The 21,912-nt window shown below is 52.5% G+C and overlaps 1 protein-coding gene across 2 annotated transcripts in view, besides 5 other annotated features; it reads right to left on the bottom strand.

Moving 5' to 3' along the window:
* Positions 1 to 21,912, bottom strand: part of DLGAP2 (DLG associated protein 2) — a 970,849-nt gene that overhangs the window by 679,761 nt on the left and 269,176 nt on the right. The window lies entirely within an intron of this gene.
* Positions 2,414 to 2,914: an enhancer, noted in NCBI's record as "H3K4me1 hESC enhancer chr8:975802-976302 (GRCh37/hg19 assembly coordinates)". NCBI's record gives its function as "activates a minimal SCP1, AML or CMV promoter by ChIP-STARR-seq in primed H9 embryonic stem cells {active_cell/tissue: H9 hESC(primed)}" and the evidence as "EXISTENCE:reporter gene assay evidence [ECO:0000049][PMID:30033119]".
* Positions 5,905 to 6,405: an enhancer, noted in NCBI's record as "H3K4me1 hESC enhancer chr8:972311-972811 (GRCh37/hg19 assembly coordinates)". NCBI's record gives its function as "activates a minimal SCP1, AML or CMV promoter by ChIP-STARR-seq in naive H9 embryonic stem cells {active_cell/tissue: H9 hESC(naive)}" and the evidence as "EXISTENCE:reporter gene assay evidence [ECO:0000049][PMID:30033119]".
* Positions 6,406 to 6,906: an enhancer, noted in NCBI's record as "H3K4me1 hESC enhancer chr8:971810-972310 (GRCh37/hg19 assembly coordinates)". NCBI's record gives its function as "activates a minimal SCP1, AML or CMV promoter by ChIP-STARR-seq in naive H9 embryonic stem cells {active_cell/tissue: H9 hESC(naive)}" and the evidence as "EXISTENCE:reporter gene assay evidence [ECO:0000049][PMID:30033119]".
* Positions 10,683 to 11,882: an enhancer, noted in NCBI's record as "BRD4-independent group 4 enhancer chr8:966834-968033 (GRCh37/hg19 assembly coordinates)". NCBI's record gives its function as "activates an origin of replication core promoter dependent on BRD2, P300/CBP, MED14 and CDK7 cofactors, and independent of BRD4, by STARR-seq in HCT116 cells {active_cell/tissue: HCT116}" and the evidence as "EXISTENCE:reporter gene assay evidence [ECO:0000049][PMID:35650434]".
* Positions 14,301 to 15,500: an enhancer, noted in NCBI's record as "BRD4-independent group 4 enhancer chr8:963216-964415 (GRCh37/hg19 assembly coordinates)". NCBI's record gives its function as "activates an origin of replication core promoter dependent on BRD2, P300/CBP, MED14 and CDK7 cofactors, and independent of BRD4, by STARR-seq in HCT116 cells {active_cell/tissue: HCT116}" and the evidence as "EXISTENCE:reporter gene assay evidence [ECO:0000049][PMID:35650434]".

The raw sequence follows: 21,912 nt of genomic DNA, 5'->3' as shown, positions 1-21,912 counted from the left end.
ACCCATCTTAACTCCACCAGCCTCCTTTGTCTCCACACCCTAGCTCCTGGATGGCTCTCCAGCCCCGTGAGCATCCTACAGCTTCTGAGGAACATCTGTGTCTGATACCACATCCACTGCCAGGGCAGCCACGCCTGGCACATCTGGAGCATCACGGGCACCTGGCACTGCACCTGGAGAATAACGGGTGCCTGGCACCGCATGTGGAGAATAACGGGCGCCTGGCACCCCACCTGGAGAATAAAGGGCGCCTGACACCCCACCTGGAGAATAACGGGCGCCTGACACCCCACCTGGAGAATAAGGGGCGCCTGACACCCGACCTGGAGAATAACGGGTGCCTGACACCCCACCTGGAGAATAACGGGCGCCTGACACCCGACCTGGAGAATAACGGGCGCCTGACACCCGACCTGGAGAATAACGGGCGCCTGACACCCCACCTGGAGAATAACGGGCGCCTGACACCCCACCTGGAGAATAACGGGCGCCTGACACCCCACCTGGAGAATAATGGGCGCCTGGCACCCCAACTGGAGAATAACGGGCGCCTGGTACCCCACCTGGAGAATAACGGGCGCGTGACACCCCACCTGGAGAATAACGGGCCCCTGGCACCCCACCTGGAGAATAACGGGCGCTTGGCACCCCACCTGGAGAATAATGGGCACCGAGCACCCTACCTGGAGAGTAACCGGCACCTGGCACTGCTCCTGGAGAATAATGGGCGCCTGACACCCCACCTAGAGAATAACGAGCGCCTGGCACCGCACCTGGAGAATAACAGGCACCGAGCACCCCACCTGGAGAATAACGGGCGCCTGGCACCCCACCTGGAGAATAACGGGCGCCTGACACCCCACCTGGAGAATAACGGGCGCCTGACACCCCACCTGGAGAATAACGGGCGCCTGACACCCGACCTGGAGAATAACGGGCGCCTGACACCCCACCTGGAGAATAACGGGCGCCTGACACCCCACCTGGAGAATAACGGGCGCCTGACACCCCACCTGGAGAATAACGGGCGCCTGGCACCCCAGCTGGAGAATAACGGGCGCCTGGTACCCCACCTGGAGAATAACGGGCGCCTGACACCCCACCTGGAGAATAACGGGCCCCTGGCACCCCACCTGGAGAATAACGGGCGCTTGGCACCCCACCTGGAGAATAATGGGCACCGAGCACCCTACCTGGGGAGTAACCGGCACCTGGCACCAAACCTGGAGAATAATGGGCGCCTGACACCCCAACTGGAGAATAACGAGCGCCTGGCACCGCACCTGGAGAATAACAGGCACCGAGCACCCCACCTGGAGAATAACGGGCACCAAGCACCCCACCTGGAGAATAACGGGCACCTGGTACCACACCTGGAGAATGGGTGCCTGGCACCCCATCTGGAGAATAATGGGCACCCGGCACCTCACCTGCAGCACCACGGGCGTGTAACTAATATGTGCTGGATTAACGCATAATTCACAAATATGCTAACTTTGTTATAATCCTGTTTCATAACAAGTTGTTATATAACTGTGAAATATAATGAACTTCTTCCATTTCCCATCTTGTGTTTATACCTTTTCTGTAAAACAATTTACGTAAAAAAAAACCCTTCCCTAAATACTAGAAATAAAGAGGCACAGCCATTATGGGCACATATTTCACCTGCCACAAACAGTGTGGTAATTACTTCTAACTTTTCAAATGTGATTCTTATTTGGTTAACTTTTAAGCGTACAATGTAAATGATATTTAAAAATTTATAGAACAGGCATATCTTAAAAAGATACATATTCCCAATGTTTAGCGATAACCTTTAGAACTTCAAAGATCAGAAGAAATTAGAATAAATGTGTTGGGGGTCAGTTAGAATATCATATAAGTCGTTAATCTCATGGGTATTTTCATAAATATTTTACCTAAAGCATAGAATACGTAGCACTGATAACACTCAATGCTGTTTTGCATGAGTAAGAAACCTGAGCCATGTGCAGTATTCCATATGTTTAATTTCAGTTTTCAATATTTTCAATTCAAAATGACAAAATCAATGTCTACAGAGTAATATAACTTCTTGTCATCTATTATTGTGAATTTTGTCAGTTTCCAGATGTGGACATTAATGCAGTGACAAATTAAGAAAATGTTCTCAATATAAGACAACCTGCAAAGAAAAGGAAAAAGATAATTAGAAAAACTGGCAGCCCAGCCAGCAGTTTAGATCACAGCAGGAGCAGGTCGGAGCAGGCACGTGCAGCCGGGGCCCAGTGCAAGGCATTCCAGGGTGCAGCCAAGGCGGCGGGCGTCCTCGTCCACAAAGCCAGACAGTACAACACCAACCGTGAAGTGGAGCTTCCATGTGAACGGCAATCTGAAGTCACAGTGGTTTGTCAAAGGAGACGTGAAGAGCAAAGCGTTGGGGTCATGGGGCAAGCGCGCCATCTCAGAGGGTCTGGTGCAGAGAAGCTTCGGAAGACGGCAAACGTCTCCACCAACGAGACAGCACGATCGTGAGGCACGTCCTGGATGAGGTGACAACGATTCCATTTTCACAGCCATGGGCACCAACGCCACTCGCAGCATGTTCGAGGACGCCAGACTGGCAGCTGAGCTCCGTTTCTGCCAGGGCTCCTGGAAGCCGGGACGAAGTGCATGGTGGTGCTGGAGGCGGCCTGGACGGGCCGGAGCCTTCTGCCGGGAATCCCTGGTGCAGCTTCAGGGCACCGTCTCAGCCCTGCTGCTGGAGCCCAGATGTGCGTCCCAGGTGCTCCCTGCTCCCTAGAAACTCTACGGAACTTTCCCTGCAGCGTGCTCTGTCCCTGTCCCTCACTTTGTATATTGTCTTTTCTCAGTACACACAGAAGCCAGGGCACCATGCTCACAGCTGGAAACTCCCAAGGCTGACAGGCCTCAGAGCCATTGCGACCGTGTCTCTCAGAACCCCCGTTAGGCTGGTCCCTCCCTGCCTCCCCTGTCATTTGTTCCTTTTGCTTCTTTCAAATAACCTAAAATTTATAAAGTAGCACTTTATCAGAGCCAGGCATGGCTCTAGGGGAGGGTGGGCAAGTACAGAGAAGACCAAATGTGGAAGGTTCTCCAGGCATCGCTCATCCTCACCGAGCGGCAGAATTCCACACAGCTGCTCTCCGCCATATCGATCACTTAAAACCAAAAAAGACATTTGACTTAACTATTCTGGTAACTCTTTGTGCTTCTTTTAGTGTATTTATTTACATTATAATTACTTTGTAGTCATATCTTTTCCAACCAGAAAATGGGCTTCTCTGGAAAGAATCCTATTTTATTAATCTTTGTCATCCCAATGCCGGGCTCAGTTAAGTTTATGGGAAGACGTGCTGGACAGAGACCAAGAGAACAGCCTTGAAAACAATCTTCAGACACGTCATGAAGTTTGGATTCAGGATCGGGGATCCAGGTCGGGGGAGTGTGAAAGAGGGCGGCACCGTGTTTGCTTGTTTGGAAGTTGCTCAGGCTATGATTTAAGAATGTTCTAGGGCAACCCAAACAATGCAACTAATTAAGACACACACACGTGCGCACACACACACGCACACACACATGCACACGCACATGCACGCACACACATACACGCACACACATACACGCGCACACACACATGCACACACATGCACATGCACGCATATGCACACACACAGGAGAGGGGGGAGCAGAGACACAGAGAGAGAGAGAACGGCTACTCTTGTGGAAAAAGGCAGCCGCTCCCGAAAGGGAGAGACCCACACCAACACCTCTGTCCGTCATTCCAGACTCTGCCACGCCAAGGTTCTATCCCAGCTTCCCCTTATTACAAGGATCAAGGGCTGCAGTTGGGAAATGGAGTCACATCTCGGTTCTTCAAAATGAGCTTGAGACGCCGCTGGCCTAAGCCCCTCACGCGTGTCCCACAGGAGGCTCCATAAGAAGGTCCGTTTCACCCAGAGGACCCTACGTGACCGTGACCCAGCCCTGCTGAAGCGCCTGTGAGTTCTTCACGAGCAGAGAGAACAAACCCACCGCACTCCTCCTCTGTTGCCTCCTTTTAGTTTTAGTTCTGTCTCCAGTCATACAACAGAGCATGAGGGAGTAAAGCTCTTCAAAGGAAGCAAGGAGGCACCCCCACCACAGAGGGCACAGCGGGGGAAGAGCCGCCCCCAAGCTGCTGTGCCAGGCAGAGGTGCAGGCACTACCTTGGCATGGGTGGTGGTTGGAGCGTCTCCTTCGGCACGGGACTGTCCACCCCCAGGGAGGGTGGGTGGCGGCTGGGGTGTCTGCCTCGGCACGGGACTGTCCACCCCCAGGGAGGGTGGGTGGCGGCTGGGGTGTCTGCCTCGGCACGGGACTGTCCACCCCCAGGGAGGGTGGGTGGTGGCTGGGGTGTCTGCCTCGGCACGGGACTGTCCACCCCCAGGGAGGGTGGGTGGTGGCTGGGGTGTCTGCCTCGGCACGGGGCTGTCCACTTCCAGGGAGGGTGGGTGGTGTTTGGAGTGTCTACCTCGGCACGGAACTGTCCACCCCCAGGGAGGGTGGGTGGTGGATGGAGCATCTACCTTGGCATGGGACTGTCCACTCCTCCACTGGGGATTCACTTACAGCCCAAGCCGGAGGCCTCGTCCTGCAGGAAGAGGTCTGAAACACCCCACACCGCACATGGCACCTGGACAGAGGCATGAGGAAGACAGGGGCCCTGAGACACAAGAGGTGGAGGCTGAGAAAAAGGGGAAGGTGCAAACCCACAGCCACCCACACTTAGAAAGCAGCAGCCGGGATTTTGCAGAGCATCGGAAGCAAACTACACACACACACACACACACACACACACACACACACACACACATATATAAAGTTTGAGCACTTGCAGACGGAAAGACCAAGCATTATTTGAAAATATCAACACAGACAGACATTGAAACGGGAATGCCCCATCTCGCTGCAGAATGAGGTGGGGCAAGACCTCACAGGTGCACTCTAAGGAAAGCAGGGCTGGGCTGCGATGGGGAAAAGGTGCTGGTAAGAAACAAGAGCCGCTAATGATATTTGAGCCACACGTGGGGAACAATGATCACCAGGTCCTGAGCAGGAACAAACGGGGCCTGCCGACACTGTTGCGCTGAAACACACGCACACTGAGGTTCACACACACAAAGGTCATTCTCATTCTCAGTAACTCGCTTGTTGCTGGACCTCAAACAGGACTCCAGCCAGGTGCTGCGGTGTGCAACTACAGTGCCCGCTACAGGGGAGGCTCAGGTCATGGGATGCTGCTTGAACCCAGGAGTTAGAATCTGGCCTGGGAACATCATAAGACCTCATCAATCCATCAACGAACACCCCCTCTACATATTGCTACAGAGAGAGGAGCGAAGACAGCTGAACTGATCCAGCTTCAGTCACAGATGTAGAGCCCAGCGAACAGACCTACGTGATAGCTCCACTTCTGAACTGCTATATCTCAGGCACGCTGAGAACAACCTGACCAGATACTCTTTGAGTCCCTTGGCCCTGGGCATCTGAACAAAAGAAAATATTTCTATTAGCGACAGTGTGTCCTTTGAAAATTTGAAAATCGGCATCACGCCAATGCCTGGGGAGAAAAGGTCACCATCTTGACCATGGTGCCAGCATCACACACGGCATGTGGCTGGATGTCTGCAGATCGCAATGCTCCTTCCCTCTGTACAAAGATACATGCGAGTTTAATGTTCTTCATATGTTCCCTGTGAGGACATTCACATGACAGCCTCTAAGATTCAGATCAAGATTGTTTAAATCCACCAGTGTTTCTAAAGCTGCCAATTTCAGTGCAAAGACAACACTCTGAATACCCTGAATACCAACAAGGAAGGAGTGTCTACCTCGGCACGGAACCATCCACTCCCGGGGGGGATGGGTGGCGGCTGGAGTGTCTACCTCGGCATGGGACTGTCCACTCCCAGGGAGGGTGGATTGTGGTTGGAGCATCTACCTCGGCACGGTACTGTCCACCCCCAGGGAGGGTGGGTGCTGTTTGGAGCGTCTACCTCGGCACGGGACCGTCCACTCCCAGGGAGGGTGGGTGCTGTTTGGAGCATCTACCTAAGCACGGGAGTGTCCACTCCCAGGGAGGATGGGTGGCGGCTGGAGTGTCTACCTCGGCACGTGACCGTCCACTCCCAGGGAGGATGGGTGGCGGCTGGAGTGTCTACCTCGGCATGGGACCGTCCAATCCCAGGGAGGATGGATGGCGGCTGGAGTGTCTACCTTGGCACGGGACCGTCCACTCCCAGGGAGGGTGGGTGCTGTTTGGAGCGTCTACCTTGGCACGGGACTGTCCACTCCCAGGGAGGGTGGGTGGTGTTTAGAGTGTCTACCTCGGCACGGGACCGTCCACTCCCAGGGAGGGTGGGTGCTGTTTGGAGCATCTACCTCGGCACGGGAGTGTCCACTCCCAGGGAGGATGGGTGGCGGCTGGAGTGTCTACCTCGGCATGGGACTGTCCACTCCCAGGGAGGGTGGGTGGTGTTTGGAGTGTCTACCTCAGCACAGGACTGTCCACCCCCAGGGAGGATGGGTGTGTGGCTCGGACATGGCCCTCAGACGGGCATTGGGTGCTGTCTGGGCTTCTCTGCACCTGTTCGCTGGTGACAACCAACATGCTCTTTGCAGGACTTTGTACAACTCACCCCTTTGCAAGGCCAGTGGCTTTGTCCATGATGCTTTCGCACATGCAACTTGGCCATGATGGTCTCAGGCCCTTTCCTAATACTGGCGCTAACATCAAGAGAGAAGATGCTCCCAGGAAGTGGGGGGTGGAGATGGTCGTGGAACAAACAAGAGGAGAAGCCCAGGGAGAGGAACACGTCACAGGCAGAACCCGACGGTGCCTGCCTCCTCCCACCACTGACAGTGGTGTGCACATTCCAACCCCACAGCATCTGGGTTGGGGTGTCCCACAGGGAGATGGGCAGAAGATGTGGTGGGAGGAGACACTGGGTCCCCCACCTTTCCCAGGGAAGTACTCACCTGTAAAATTATGTGAGCTGAAGTCTCATGGAGTCTTTAGCTGAGTTCTTATTAACTTAGTGAATTATCTGTGGTCTCTGACCTCTTATATCAATAGTTTTTCCAGGACTCTGACTGCCTGAGATCAAGACAGCCAAGACAGGTGTCTGCCTGCCCACAAACTGTTGATCTATAATTAGGGGAAATCACTCCCATAATTGGTCCAAAAATGCTAGCTGAGCTCAACATGGCTAATCTGCCCCTGCCAATAATGGAATGCCTTTGCTCGAGTCAAACAAGAGAAATGCCACACGCCACCCTCATGGTTTCTGCTCTCACCTTAGAGCATTTTCATCCTCAGGGAATGAAATGGGTCATTTCAATTGTTCTCTCTGAGCACTTTCCAAAATATATCGTATTTTAGGGCTGGCAGCTTATAATCTGTACACCTGGAAAAATCAGCAAATCTATGCGTTCCATCCTTCTTATGTTTCTGATGTCAAGGGTAACAATATCTTCTTAAGATATTTAAGCTATATCACTTTTACTAGAGCTATTTACTCCCAAGAATATACTCAAATTGATATTAATTATCTGTAGGCACAAGTGACCATCATAGGAACAAAACTGTGGGCTAATCCAGTACCATGAGTCTGCATCCCAGGTGTGACACGTGCATGGTAATCTTTGGAATGACTATTCCTTTTAGTTTATCTATAAAAGGTGCATAACACTTTGTCCTACTGCAGTGGGATATTGATTAATTGCTTTGCCTGCTCTTAAGACCTAGATGAGCATTTGTATGAATGGGGGATGAGGCAGGGATGGTCCCAGCTGTGCTGAGCTGGCCAGAGTCACTCTTGTAGGAATCCCAAGACTGTTCAGTCTCTGGAGCCGTAAAGCCTGGGTCCCAAACCCGTGGCTGGAGCCCCAGCTCTCCCCTCTGTGCCCTGGGTTCTGTGCGTATTCTCCTGACACACAGATGGCTACTCTTTAATGTTTACCAAAGACAGTCTGAGTGGGTGTTGGTTCCCCTTACTCAGTGAGTCCTAAGATCAGGGTGCTCACAGGTCCCAGTGTGCTCACCACCATCGCTGTTAATGACTGTTCTCCTGACAATGCTGTCAATGCGTTCACTCTCACTCTCAGACATGCCCTGATGTGCTCAACACATTGTGTGAGCACCATCTCTGAGACCTCAATCCCTTCTTCAATTCAGTACAAAATCAGGTGCGATAATACATGTAAAAGATTTCTGAAGACTGCTAAGCTATAATGCCTCAGCCCTTACTACATGGAGTAAGAAACAGAGGGCTTGGATTAGAGATAGGAATCAACCAGAACCATTGAATAAAATAATCTGTCCTTAAGCCAGTCAGGGGCTTCATGACAGCCTGGAATACAAACGTTCTCTCAGGTTAGCAATTAACGGTCACTTTCTAATACGCTTCAGGGTTTCATACCCAAATTGGTCCCTCTGGAGCTGAAAACTTTTTAAAGCAGGATGGCTTCCTTGTAGAAACAAATAAGTAAATTTTACTTGTAAGGCAATCAATAAAAGTCAGGCCACTGTATGGATACTTGAATAATTGTATGATTTATTTTATACTTGATATATTTGCTTTATAAAAATTATTTAATGGCCATCAAATTTTAATGCATGTATCTACTTATTTGTTGACAGTTAAAATGTTAAGCAACTTAACTTCTTTGACAAATAAAATACTGAACCAAAGTTCACAAAGTGATTTTATCGTGCTGCTGGGGAAACAACTTTTGTCCCTCCCCACGCCCTGCATTCACACACACACAGGCCATCCCGGAAGGGAACGCTACCACTGCTGCCTGACTTTGTCCCTGCAAGAAACCAGTGGCTCTGCCTCAAGCTCAAGACTTCCCTCGGTTTATTTTACCTGAATCCCCCAGTCTGACATAGGTGCTAGGTCGGCGGGAGGGCAGAAGTGGGTACACCTCAGGGTGAAAGAATCAGAGTCTGATAGAGACATGAATTCTAGACATATCTTTATATGTATAATCACACCAAAGCAAACCCTGAAAAATATTCAAGCTCCAATGAATAAGCCACAGTCCCCACAGAGATCACGAAATTCCAGCATGAATAACTCACCTTCAAACCTAGAAGTGGTTTCCACCACCAGATGACGACAGACGGTGAAGTCGCTCTGCCCCTCTCTTTAGAGGGAAATGTGCTCCAGAAGCAGATGTGGAATTCTTTCTATGTGCGATTCTCGGTGAAAATCTTTCCAGAAGCAGATGTGAAATTATTTCTATGTGCGATTCTCGGTGAAAATCTTGCTTTGTGAGTTGCCACGGGGTGGTGATATTATGCAGCAGAGATTCTCTGGTCCTGGTACTTCCCAGCTGGGTTCAATTATCCCGAGATGAAAAACCACCACAGAGAGAGGCTTCTGAGCTCCCAACAGTAAGAGGTGCAGAGCTGCGTGCCAGCCACCTGTGTGCATGTGGGAAAGCCAGCATGGGAACCGGCACAGTGCCCAAGTGTGAAAGCTGTTCACACTCACTCTAGAACAACGTCTGCATGATTTTAAAGCACATGCCGTGATAATGCTGGCGTGGCTGGCGTGGCTGGCATGGTGCATGACCAGAGATACAGCTTCCAGATGAGCCAAAGGGCATTTTTAATGGGACTGACCTTCTCAGTCGCTGCCTCCTATGGCCCCACGGTGTCAGACGAGTGGACAAGCGCCCGTCTCACTGTCTGCTGACCGTGCTGTCCATGTAAACCCACATGGTGAAGGCTGTTCTAATGCTCTTGAGCAACTGCCGTTTCAGCCACACCAGCTTGTCATTGCACAAACTGGATTTGAGCGACTGGAAATCGATTCATGCAAATTAAGGTGCCAAACAGTTTTTTAACAGACAAGAAGATAAAATCTCAAATAGCAAAGACTTTTTAGTTAAAGTGACTGCTGAAATGTGTTTCCTTTGAATTAACAAAATATTTCCAGTTGATAAGGAATATGACCTAAAATAGTCAATTAAATGTAAAAAGTATGAACTTTGTTTAAATATCACAGATTACTTAATGTAGGAGACCTCAACGTAATTATGAGGACAGATAAACTTTAATTTCTGCCAAGAGCAATGTGTGCTTAAAGCCCAGCACAGGCAGAGCCAGGAGGACAGAGTCACTGCTGCCTCCAGGCCTTCAGCCACTGGGACTGCTGGTCAACTTCAGCAGGGCAGGCCTGGCTGAGCCTGGCAGTGACTGCCATTCATAGGGCAGCCAAGAGCTAGGGCACTCACTAATAAGACAATAAACCAGGTTTGCTTGCAGGAGGACTTCCCAACCTAATGCGAAATAGAATCCCAGTAAAACATGCTGTGGTCAAATCAATTGAGTTTCTTCACAGCTCAGTTTAGTCACACACTGAACATCAGCCGGAATCAATGTTCAAAGAAGGAAGTCCTATGGTGTCAGAGTCTGGGATAACGCATCTGATTGAGCAGGGACAAGCTGAGGACGGAGGGCCTATAGGGGCAGGGATCATGTGAGAGTCTAGGATAATGCATCTGACTGAGCAGGGCCAAGCATGAGGATGGAGGGCCTGTAGGGGCAGGGGTCATGTGAGAGTCTTGGTCAATGCAGCTGACTGAGCAGGGCCAAGCTGAGGACGGAGGGCCTGTAGGGGCAGGGGTCAGTGAGCGCTTTCCACAAAGGGATGGGGTGGGAATAGTTCAGGTTGTGGGGTACACTTGTTCTCTGCCACAACTAGGAAAGTGGCCCCAAGCACTACAAAGCCATAGGTGTGGCTGTGTCCAATCAAACTTTCTCTGCAAACTCAGTGGCAGGATGCAGGCCACAGTTTGCCTGCCCTGAACTAAAGCAGCTGGAGGCCTGGGACAGGGATGAACCCAGTAGCGTGGAGAGGAGTGAGGTGGCCACTTGCACTCAGACGAGTCTACCCGCCCACGGCAGGCCCCTTGCAGGCTCAGTCAGTCCCCGTCCTGCTTCTACAGCCCTGGGTATGGAAACCCCACAGGAAACACAAGCCAAAAGGCTCCTGGTCACACACAGTGGAGGTGTCATCTGTCCCGGTCACACACACAGTGGAGGCGCCGTCTGTCCTGGTCACACACAGTGGAGGCGTCGTCTGTCCTGGTCACACACACAGTGGAGGCATCGTCTGTCCTGGTCACACACAGTGGAGGCGTCTGTCCTGGTCACACACACAGTGGAGGCGCCGTCTGTCCTGGTCACACACACAGTGGAGGCACCGTCTGTCCTGGTCATACACACAGTGGAGGCGCCGTCTGTCCTGGTCACACACACAGTGGAGGCATCGTCTGTCCTGGTCACACACAGTGGAGGCGTCGTCTGTCCTGGTCACACACACAGTGGAGGCGCCGTCTGTCCTGGTCACACACACAGTGGAGGCATCGTCTGTCCTGGTCACACACAGTGGAGGCGTCGTCTGTCCTGGTCACACACAGTGGAGGCATCGTCTGTCCTGGTCACACACACAGTGGAGGCGTCGTCTGTCCTGGTCACACACACAGTGGAGGCGCCGTCTGTCCCGGTCACACACACAGTGGAGGCGTCGTCTGTCCTGGTCACACACACAGTGGAGGCGCCGTCTGTCCTGGTCACACACACAGTGGAGGCGTCGTCTGTCCTGGTCACACACAGTGGAGGCGCCGTCTGTCCTGGTCACACACACAGTGGAGGCGCCGTCTGTCCTGGTCACACACACAGTGGAGGCATCGTCTGTCCTGGTCACACACAGTGGAGGCATCGTCTGTCCTGGTCACACACACAGTGGAGGCGCCGTCTGTCCTGGTCACACACACAGTGGAGGCATCGTCTGTCCTGGTCACACACAGTGGAGGCGTCGTCTGTCCTGGTCACACACACAGTGGAGGCGCCGTCTGTCCTGGTCACACACACAGTGGAGGCATCGTCTGTCCTGGTCACACACAGTGGAGGCGTCGTCTGTCCTGGTCACACACAGTGGAGGCATCGTCTGTCCTGGTCACACACACAGTGGAGGCGTCGTCTGTCCTGGTCACACACACAGTGGAGGCGCCGTCTGTCCTGGTCACACACACAGTGGAGGCATCGTCTGTCCTGGTCACACACAGTGGAGGCGTCGTCTGTCCTGGTCACACACACAGTGGAGGCGCCGTCTGTCCTGGTCTCACACAGTGGAGGCATCGTCTGTCCTGGTCACACACACAGTGGAGGCGCCGTCTGTCCTGGTCACACACACAGTGGAGGCATCGTCTGTCCTGGTCACACACAGTGGAGGCGTCGTCTGTCCTGGTCACACACAGTGGAGGCATCGTCTGTCCTGGTCACACACACAGTGGAGGCGTCGTCTGTCCTGGTCACACACACAGTGGAGGCGCCGTCTGTCCCGGTCACACACACAGTGGAGGCGTCGTCTGTCCTGGTCACACACACAGTGGAGGCGCCGTCTGTCCTGGTCACACACAGTGGAGGCATCGTCTGTCCTGGTCACACACACAGTGGAGGCGCCGTCTGTCCTGGTCACACACACAGTGGAGGCATCGTCTGTCCTGGTCATACACACAGTGGAGGCACCGTCTGTCCTGGTCACACACACAGTGGAGGCATCGTCTGTCCTGGTCACACACAGTGGAGGCGTCGTCTGTCCTGGTCACACACAGTGGAGGCATCGTCTGTCCTGGTCACACACACAGTGGAGGCGCCGTCTGTCCTGGTCACACACACAGTGGAGGCATCGTCTGTCCTGGTCACACACAGTGGAGGCATCGTCTGTCCTGGTCATACACACAGTGGAGGCATCGTCTGTCCTGGTCACACACACAGTGGAGGCATCGTCTGTCCTGGTCACACACAGTGGAGGCATCGTCTGTCCTGGTCACACACACAGTGGAGGCATCGTCTGTCCTGGTCACACACACAGTGGAGGCATCGTCTGTCCTGGTCACACACACAGTGGAGGCATCGTCTGTCCTGGTCACACACAGTGGAGGCGTCGTCTGTCCTGGTCACACACAGTGGAGGCATCGTCTGTCCTGGTCACACACAGTGGAGGCGTCGTCTGTCCTGGTCACACACAGTGGAGGCATCGTCTGTCCTGGTCACACACACAGTGGAGGCGCCGTCTGTCCTGGTCACACACAGTGGAGGCGTCGTCTGTCCTGGTCACACACACAGTGGAGGCATCGTCTGTCCTGGTCACACACAGTGGAGGCGTCGTCTGTCCTGGTCACACACAGTGGAGGCATCGTCTGTCCTGGTCACACACACAGTGGAGGCGCCGTCTGTCCTGGTCACACACAGTGGAGGCGTCGTCTGTCCTGGTCACACACACAGTGGAGGCATCGTCTGTCCTGGTCACACACAGTGGAGGCGTCGTCTGTCCTGGTCATACACACAGTGGAGGCGCCGTCTGTCCTGGTCACACACACAGTGGAGGCGTCGTCTGTCCTGGTCATACACACAGTGGAGGCACCGTCTGTCCTGGTCACACACACAGTGGAGGCGTCGTCTGTCCTGGTCACACACACAGTGGAGGCGTCGTCTGTCCTGGTCACACACACAGTGGAGGCATCGTCTGTCCTGGTCTCACACAGTGGAGGCGTCTGTCCTGGTCACACACACAGTGGAGGCACCGTCTGTCCTGGTCACACACACAGTGGAGGCGCCGTCTGTCCTGGTCACACACACAGTGGAGGCGTCGTCTGTCCTGGTCACACACAGTGGAGGCGTCTGTCCTGGTCACACACACAGTGGAGGCGCCGTCTGTCCTGGTCTCACACAGTGGAGGCGCCGTCTGTCCTGGTCATACACACAGTGGAGGCATCGTCTGTCCTGGTCTCACACAGTGGAGGCGTCTGTCCTGGTCACACACACAGTGGAGGCGTCGTCTGTCCTGGTCACACACACAGTGGAGGCGTCGTCTGTCCTGGTCATACACACAGTGGAGGCATCGTCTGTCCTGGTCTCACACAGTGGAGGCACCGTCTGTCCTGGTCACACACGCAGTGGAGGCGCCGTCTGTCCTGGTCACACACACAGTGGAGGCACCGTCTGTCCTGGTCACACACACAGTGGAGGCATCGTCTGTCCTGGTCACACACAGTGGAGGCGTCGTCTGTCCTGGTCACACACAGTGGAGGCGTCGTCTGTCCTGGTCATACACACAATGGAGGCATCGTCTGTCCTGGTCTCACACAGTGGAGGCGTCTGTCCTGGTCACACACACAGTGGAGGCACCGTCTGTCCTGGTCACACACACAGTGGAGGCGTCGTCTGTCCTGGTCATACACACAATGGAGGCATCGTCTGTCCTGGTCTCACACAGTGGAGGCGTCTGTCCTGGTCACACACACAGTGGAGGCACCGTCTGTCCTGGTCACACACACAGTGGAGGCGTCGTCTGTCCTGGTCATACACACAGTGGAGGCATCGTCTGTCCTGGTCTCACACAGTGGAGGCACCGTCTGTCCTGGTCACACACGCAGTGGAGGCGCCGTCTGTCCTGGTCACACACACAGTGGAGGCACCGTCTGTCCTGGTCACACACACAGTGGAGGCGTCGTCTGTCCTGGTCATACACACAATGGAGGCATCGTCTGTCCTGGTCTCACGCAGTGGAGGCATCGTCTGTCCTGGTCACACACACAGTGGAGGCGCCGTCTGTCCTGGTCACACACAGTGGAGGCGCCGTCTGTCCTGGTCATACACACAGTGGAGGCATCGTCTGTCCTGGTCTCACACAGTGGAGGCGTCTGTCCTGGTCACACACACAGTGGAGGCGTCGTCTGTCCTGGTCACACACACAGTGGAGGCGTCGTCTGTCCTGGTCATACACACAGTGGAGGCATCGTCTGTCCTGGTCTCACACAGTGGAGGCACCGTCTGTCCTGGTCACACACGCAGTGGAGGCGCCGTCTGTCCTGGTCACACACACAGTGGAGGCACCGTCTGTCCTGGTCACACACACAGTGGAGGCGTCGTCTGTCCTGGTCATACACACAATGGAGGCATCGTCTGTCCTGGTCTCACACAGTGGAGGCGTCTGTCCTGGTCACACACACAGTGGAGGCACCGTCTGTCCTGGTCACACACACAGTGGAGGCGCCGTCTGTCCGTTTGCTGGGCCAGGTCACACTAGTGCTGTCTGGAGACCTCTGCGGCAACATCATCACCCACCCCCATCACGCCCCCACAGAGACCCTGTGATGCTGCCCGTCCTGGGAAAGGCTGGCTCATCTGCCTCCTATTCCGATTCCTGCTGGTCCAGCAGCACCTCCCATCTTTCTCCCTAGAGAGTCAGGACACCGGCTCTACAAACAAGCGTGAGGCTCTCCCCTCTCCTCTTGTCCTTTAATCTGTGCCTGTGGCTTTTCCTTATCAACCTACGAGATGCTCAAAGCTCTACTGTATCCTGCACAGGGCAGTACATGGTGGGCACTTAGTTCACAAATGCTTAACTTTTCACACCAATAACGTAGTTCAAATGCTGAAAGTCTATACACATAGCCCTTGACTATTGATACGTATGAAAGGAATTAGCAGCACAGGCCTTTCAGTAACTAGATCAAAAACTGGAACAGGGAAAAGACATAATAATGGACCACAAAGAACATAGGTGCCCAGGGGCCGGAGGGCTGGAAGCATGGAGACCCCAGCATCTGTGAGCTGCAGGAAGAAGGGAAACACCTTCCTAGTCCACAGTCTCAACTTCCTCATCTGCAAAACTGAAGCCACACTGGCAGGGACCCCCTCTGTTTGCAGAGAGGTTAAACAGGAACACACAGATGCAATCGCCAGGCACACGACACATACTCATGGGACAGTGGTCTCAGCAGAACCTGGCGTGCTTATCGTGATGGGTGGAGGCGGGGGAACACTGGAAAGTAGGGGGCTGGTCAGAGGGTGTCCACACTGCCGCTGAAGTGGGGGGCTGGTCGGAGGGTGTCCACACTGCCGCTGAAGTGGGGGGGCCGGTCGGACGGTGTCCACACTGCCGCTGAAGTAGGGGGGACTGGTCGGACGGTGTCCACACTGCCGCTGAAGTGGGGGGCTGGTCGGACGGTGTCCACACTGCCGCTGAAGTCGGGGGGGCCGGTCAGACGGTGTCCACACTGCCGCTGAAGTGGGGGGCTGGTTGGACGGTGTCTACACTGCCGCTGAAGTGGGGGGGCTGGTCGGACGTTGTCCACACTGCCGCTGAAGTGGGGGGCTGGTCAGACGGTGTCCACACTGCCGCTGGAAGTTCCCGCAGAGGCAGCCACACAGAGACTACTGGAGATCCTCGCTCGCGCAGCAGCCTGTGGGTCCAAGAAGCATTTGCCGCGGGCGCTTTCTATCACAGTACAGTATCTGTGTGGCAGACGGGCTTCCGAGAGTGCGTTCTTCGTCTTCTATTTTAACTGTAATCCGTGCAACAGACAGGACTACAGGAAGAGCGAAGGGATGGGGATTTAAGCCTGTCAAAGATGGAAGTCAGCAGGGGTGTCAGACATGTCAGGCCTGAGTGAGGACGAAAATTAAAAGGCAGAACTTCAAGGAGAAAATCACACAGCCTAGCAAGGGGATACCGCTGCACCTGGCTGAGTCTGCAAGTGGGGAACAGAGTCTGGTCTTCCTGCGACACGGGCCATGCATGTGAAGGACCTGGCATGTGTTTGCAGGGCCTATAAAACATCTTCTGTGAAAGCCATGCCCCTGGACTTGAGCCACTCAGGCAACCAGCCTGAATTTAGAGTGAGCCGAGACATCCGTCTACACGCCCAGGTGGAGCAGAGGGCAAGAGAGCATCCTCGGTAAAACACAAAGCCCTGGGAAAACGTCCATCCACAACTCCTGGTTCCACATCTGTGCCTCAGACTGACACCCTCGCCCAGGGCCCACTGTGCAGACTGAGGACTCTCATTCCAGGGCCCACTGTGTAGACTGAGACCCCTCATTCCAGGGCCCACTGTGCAGACTGAGGACCCTCGTCCAGGGCTCACTGTGTAGACTGAGACTCCTCATTCCAGGGCTCACTCTATAGACTGAGACTCCTCATTCCAGGGCTCACTGTGCAGACTGAGACCCCTCATTCCAGGGCCCACTGTGCAGACTGAGGAACCTCGTCCAGGGCTCACTGTGTAGACTGAGACTCCTCATTCCAGGGCTCACTGTGTAGACTGAGACTCCTCATTCCAGGGCTCACTGTGCAGACTGAGACCCCTCATTCCAGGGCCCACTGTGCAGACTGAGACCCCCCATTCCAGGGCTCACTGTGTAGACTGAGACCCCTCATTCCAGGGCTCACTGTGTAGACTGAGACTCCTCATTCTAGGGCTCACTGTGTAGACTGAGACCCCTCATTCCAGGGCTCACTGTGCAGACTGAGACCCCTCATTCCAGGGTCCACTGTGCAGACTGAGACCCCCCATTCCAGGGCTCACTGTGTAGACTGAGACTCCTCATTCTAGGGCTCACTGTGTAGACTGAGACCCCTCATTCCAGGGCTCACTGTGCAGACTGAGACCCCTCATTCCAGGGCTCACTGTGTAGACTAAGACCCCTCATTCCAGAGCTCACTGTGTAGACTGAGGCCCTTCGCCCGGGCTCACTGTGCAGACTAAGGTACCTCATTCCAGGGCTCACTGTGTAGACTGAGACCCCTTGCCCAGAATCACCATGCAGACTGAGGCCCCACATTCCAGGGCTCACTATGTAGACTGAGGCCCCTCGCCCGGGGCTCACCATGCAGACTGAGGCCCCTCGCCCGGGGTTCACTGTGTAGACTGAGGCCCCTCGCCTGGGGCCCACTGTGTAGACTGAGGGGCCCCTCGCCTGGGGCTCACTGTGCAGGCCCCTGCCTGTGGCTGGACCCAGAGGAGAGGAGCCCCGTGATGCTCCCTGGGGTTTAGATCTCTGAGGTGTTTTTAAAGTTTAACTAAAAACAAAAAGTCTTCAAGACACTTAGGAATTCATTTCTGAGGGCAAAAATCAAGCATTACGGCAGGAAATTGAGAGGAAATTATTCTTAGGTTCCTGAAATGACACCACTCAGGTGGCTAGCTATGGGAAAAGCCTCACCCATTCTTGCAGGTTTTGTTTATATCATTAAGCTCCATTTGATGTCGTAAGTGAAACTGGACTTGCAGATTACCAGTAAAATGGCTCTACTCTTCACTGCCCGAACTCTGTATGTGTGTGTGGGCGTATGTGTGCCCATATGTGGGTAATGTGTAGTATTTTAGAGTGCACATGTGTGCACACATATGTGAGAATATGAGTATGTGTGTGCATATGTGGGCACATGTGTGTATGTGTGTATAAAACTGTGATATCTGACTGTGCACACATGTGAGAATGAGTGCGTGTGTGCATGTGTGTGCATATGTGGGCACATGTGTGTATGTGTGTATAAAACTGATATCTGAGTGTACACACATATGTGAGAATGTGTGTGTGCATGTGTGCGCATATGTGGGCACATGTGTGTATGTGTGTATAAAACTGATATCTGAGTGTGCACATGTGCATGCATGTGTGTGCATGTGTCTGTGTGTGCATAGGTGTGTGTGCATATATGTAGTTAAGTAGCTTGTGATTAATTAAGATATTTTAAAAATCTTTAGTTTGTTGAAGATGAGTAAGTCCTTAGCTCACTGATACCACGATATTAAAAGCAACAACAGTGAAATACTGACATTCTTTTTAGCATAAGGTGTACCTGGAAACTTCTTCAGAAAGATAAGTTGTGCTAGCAGCTTCCATTGTTTCAATCAACTGTGCAAAAACACAAGACCTTACTGGCTTGTTAATGAAAAACCAATTCCAAACACAATCTCCTATGAGGTATTTCCAACAGATAAATGGGCATTTGATATTTTATCTGGTTTAGATAATAATCTGCAAAATTACCACCTCCTTCCTCTGCAAAGCGCCAGGATTATGTGAGCAAGGTCTAGGCTGTGGAGACAAATGAGAGGTGGCCCACTCTACACACGCAGCAGGTGAAAGGAAAAGGTTCCATTTCTGGTTCTTCATCATGCAAGTTCCTCGAAGAATGAAAACCAACATTGAGCTAAGTCAGTCCAGGTAATGGACTCTGCTTCCAACTGAAACAAGACATAATCACTGACTCCATCCACTTCCACTATGAACAGTGTGAGCTCAAAAAAATTCCCACGTGTAAAGCTAATTCCCACATTTGAATTTAGAAATTTCACTTCATCATTCAGTCAAAGAAAATGTCAGAAGCAATACCAAAAGTCTGTCCTAGGGTATTAACTCTGAATAACAATCTAATTCTCAATATTTAGAATCTCCTTCCAAAAATCTATTATGTGTTCCTTAGGTCAAATAAACCATTATAGAAAAAGCCCGTTATCCGATATGACATCTATGAAATGTTCTAATAAAATGGAAACTGGGAACATTCTAATGTCTGTTCTGCTGGGACTTGACGAACAAAAAGAAAATGCATTCCACTGAAGGAGGGGAGGAAGGAGAGTTTTGGGGGACAGAACTGGGAGGTGGGTGTCCAGGGCCTTAGGAGATTGGAAAGCAGGAGGCAGAGCTGACCAAGCATTGCAGGAACACCACCCTCGGCCACATGGAAGAGGGTCCCCAGGCTGGGCTGTGCAGCTACACTCCTGCCTGCCCCCCATCAGGGCCCCCACCCAGCTTTTGCCAGGGAAATCCCATGGGTGGGAAGGGGTACTGGAGGCCTGCGAGGAAGGGTCTGGCCATGGCAGTGCGATTCTGCATACCCAGGAGCCTCTGGGTGCTGCTGACCTGACTCCAGCTCCTCACAGGGTTGCATCTGGGTGTCAGAAGGGGCCATGTGGTCTCACCCATGTTCGGAGCTGCCTGGGCGGAATCAGGACTAGGAGGCCCGGGGCCCCTCTCCCAGTTCCCATGCACACCAGTGGGGGCGCAGCACCATGCAGCAGGTGGAGGTTGCTCCCTGACGGACCCTCAGTGCTGGGGTGGGGGAGCGGGGAACCGGCCCTGGCATGGCGATGTAGTGAGTACCAGTCCTCCTGCAGAGGCGGACAGCTGTTCTCCAGCTTAATTACGGCACAGTAAGAACCATGCAAAGGACATTGGCTTCCACTGACAAAGGCAGCTCTAAGCATTTAAGATTTTATATCAAGTTTTCATGCAAGTCTTAACTTTTTCTTGTTCAGGAACAGCCATCGGAAATTATAATGCATCAATAAGAAAATATGATTTTATATACAAATGTTAGCTTTGTTTCCTTTCCAAGAACACAATTACTTCTTTTTAAAAGTTGAGTTGCCTATTACTAGAATATGATAATTATCTTAAAACCATATCTGCAAAATCAATACCAGTTTTCACTATTTCCTGGCTTGGGCTACATTATAGACACTCGTTGTGCAAAGGAAGGTAAACAAAGCTGAAATGTTTTAACTTCTTCATAGAAACTAATGGCAAGCCAGTTTTCAAATGGCCTGTTTTTGTCTTAGCATTTGTTCTACGTAATAACTACTGACATTTATCTTTTATCAAGATCTTGACCTTGAATGTTTCAACTAGTTCCTGATTTCAAACAAAAATTATGTCCAAATGGGAAGGTAGATCAGGATCTTTCTTCACTAATCAATTTGGATGAAAAAGAAAATACTTTAAAACTTATTCTAGCCTGGAGAGTGCACGTCATTTTCAACTAATAACTTGAAGGTGCACATTCAGGGCCCTGCTCATCCATCACAGGAAAAGAACACATCCCCTTCTTTATGGAGGGCGTCCTGTCACCAGCGAGACGGACCGGGCGCCATGGAGTGGGTTGATTCCCTCCCCTACTATGGGACATTTTCCCTTTTAAAATGACCTTGCCATAAAAACTGAGAAGTTTATAAATTTTTATGTTACTGGGCACAAATTAACCAAAAGCATTGTCCTTAAAATCAGAATGAATTTCACAGCAACATAAAATACAGTTCACTATACACCCAAATCAGCTGCTTCCTTATATGAAGGTTTCCATCACTGCTGGCAGGTATTGCTACTGCTGACTCCTAAAGAGATGGACGACAGAGCCAGTTGACTCACAGAAGATCCCCCCCCCAAAAAAAAAAACTACCCATAGAGAAGACCACCACTGGACCACTGGTGCCTTCAGCCTTAAAGGGAGCATGCCAGACTATGGCCACATGGCTTCGTGTACATCCGCTGGCCTTGCCTCCCTAGGATTTAGTTAGAGACACATCTTTCCCTCCTGGGATGTAAGTCAGCTGACTTGCTCTTGCCTGAAGGGCTTGGTAAAATGGGCCATGATGGCCAATATTCAAAGGTAGCAGGAAAATGCTGGTCTTCCTTCTGCTTCACTCCCCCTTGGTTACAGCACACAGAAGTCACCAGAGTGAGACGTGGGCACCTGAGAGCGGCTGGCCAGGTCCTCCAGCAAACCCCTCCAGGAAATCACAGCAGTCACAGAGACAACCCGTGCAGACACGTGAAGAGTGTGGGACTGACCGTATCCTAAGACTTGAGATGCACGGTGTCCCCGACATGATAAAGGACCACATCCCGAGACTTCATATACACGGCATACCCGACGTGATAAAGGACCATATCCTGAGACTTCAGACACACGGCGTCCCCGACATGATAAAGGACCGTATTCTGAGACTTCAGACACAAGGTGTCCCCAACGTGATAAAGGACCACATCCCGAGACTTCAGACACACGGTGTCCCTGACGTGATAAAGGACCACATCCTGAGACTTGAGACACACGGTGTCCCCGACGTGATAAAGGACCACATCCCGAGACTTGAGACGCAGGGCGCCCCCGACGTGATAAAGGACCACATCCCGAGACTTCAGACACATGGTGTCCCCGACGTGATAAAGGACCACATCCCGAGACTTGAGACGCAGGGCGCCCCCGACGTGAT

The sequence above is a fragment of the Homo sapiens genome, chromosome 8, assembly GCF_000001405.40.
Source record: "Homo sapiens chromosome 8, GRCh38.p14 Primary Assembly".
NCBI classification, from domain to species: Eukaryota; Metazoa; Chordata; class Mammalia; order Primates; family Hominidae; genus Homo; species Homo sapiens.
This window is presented reverse-complemented; position numbering and strand designations above follow the sequence as displayed.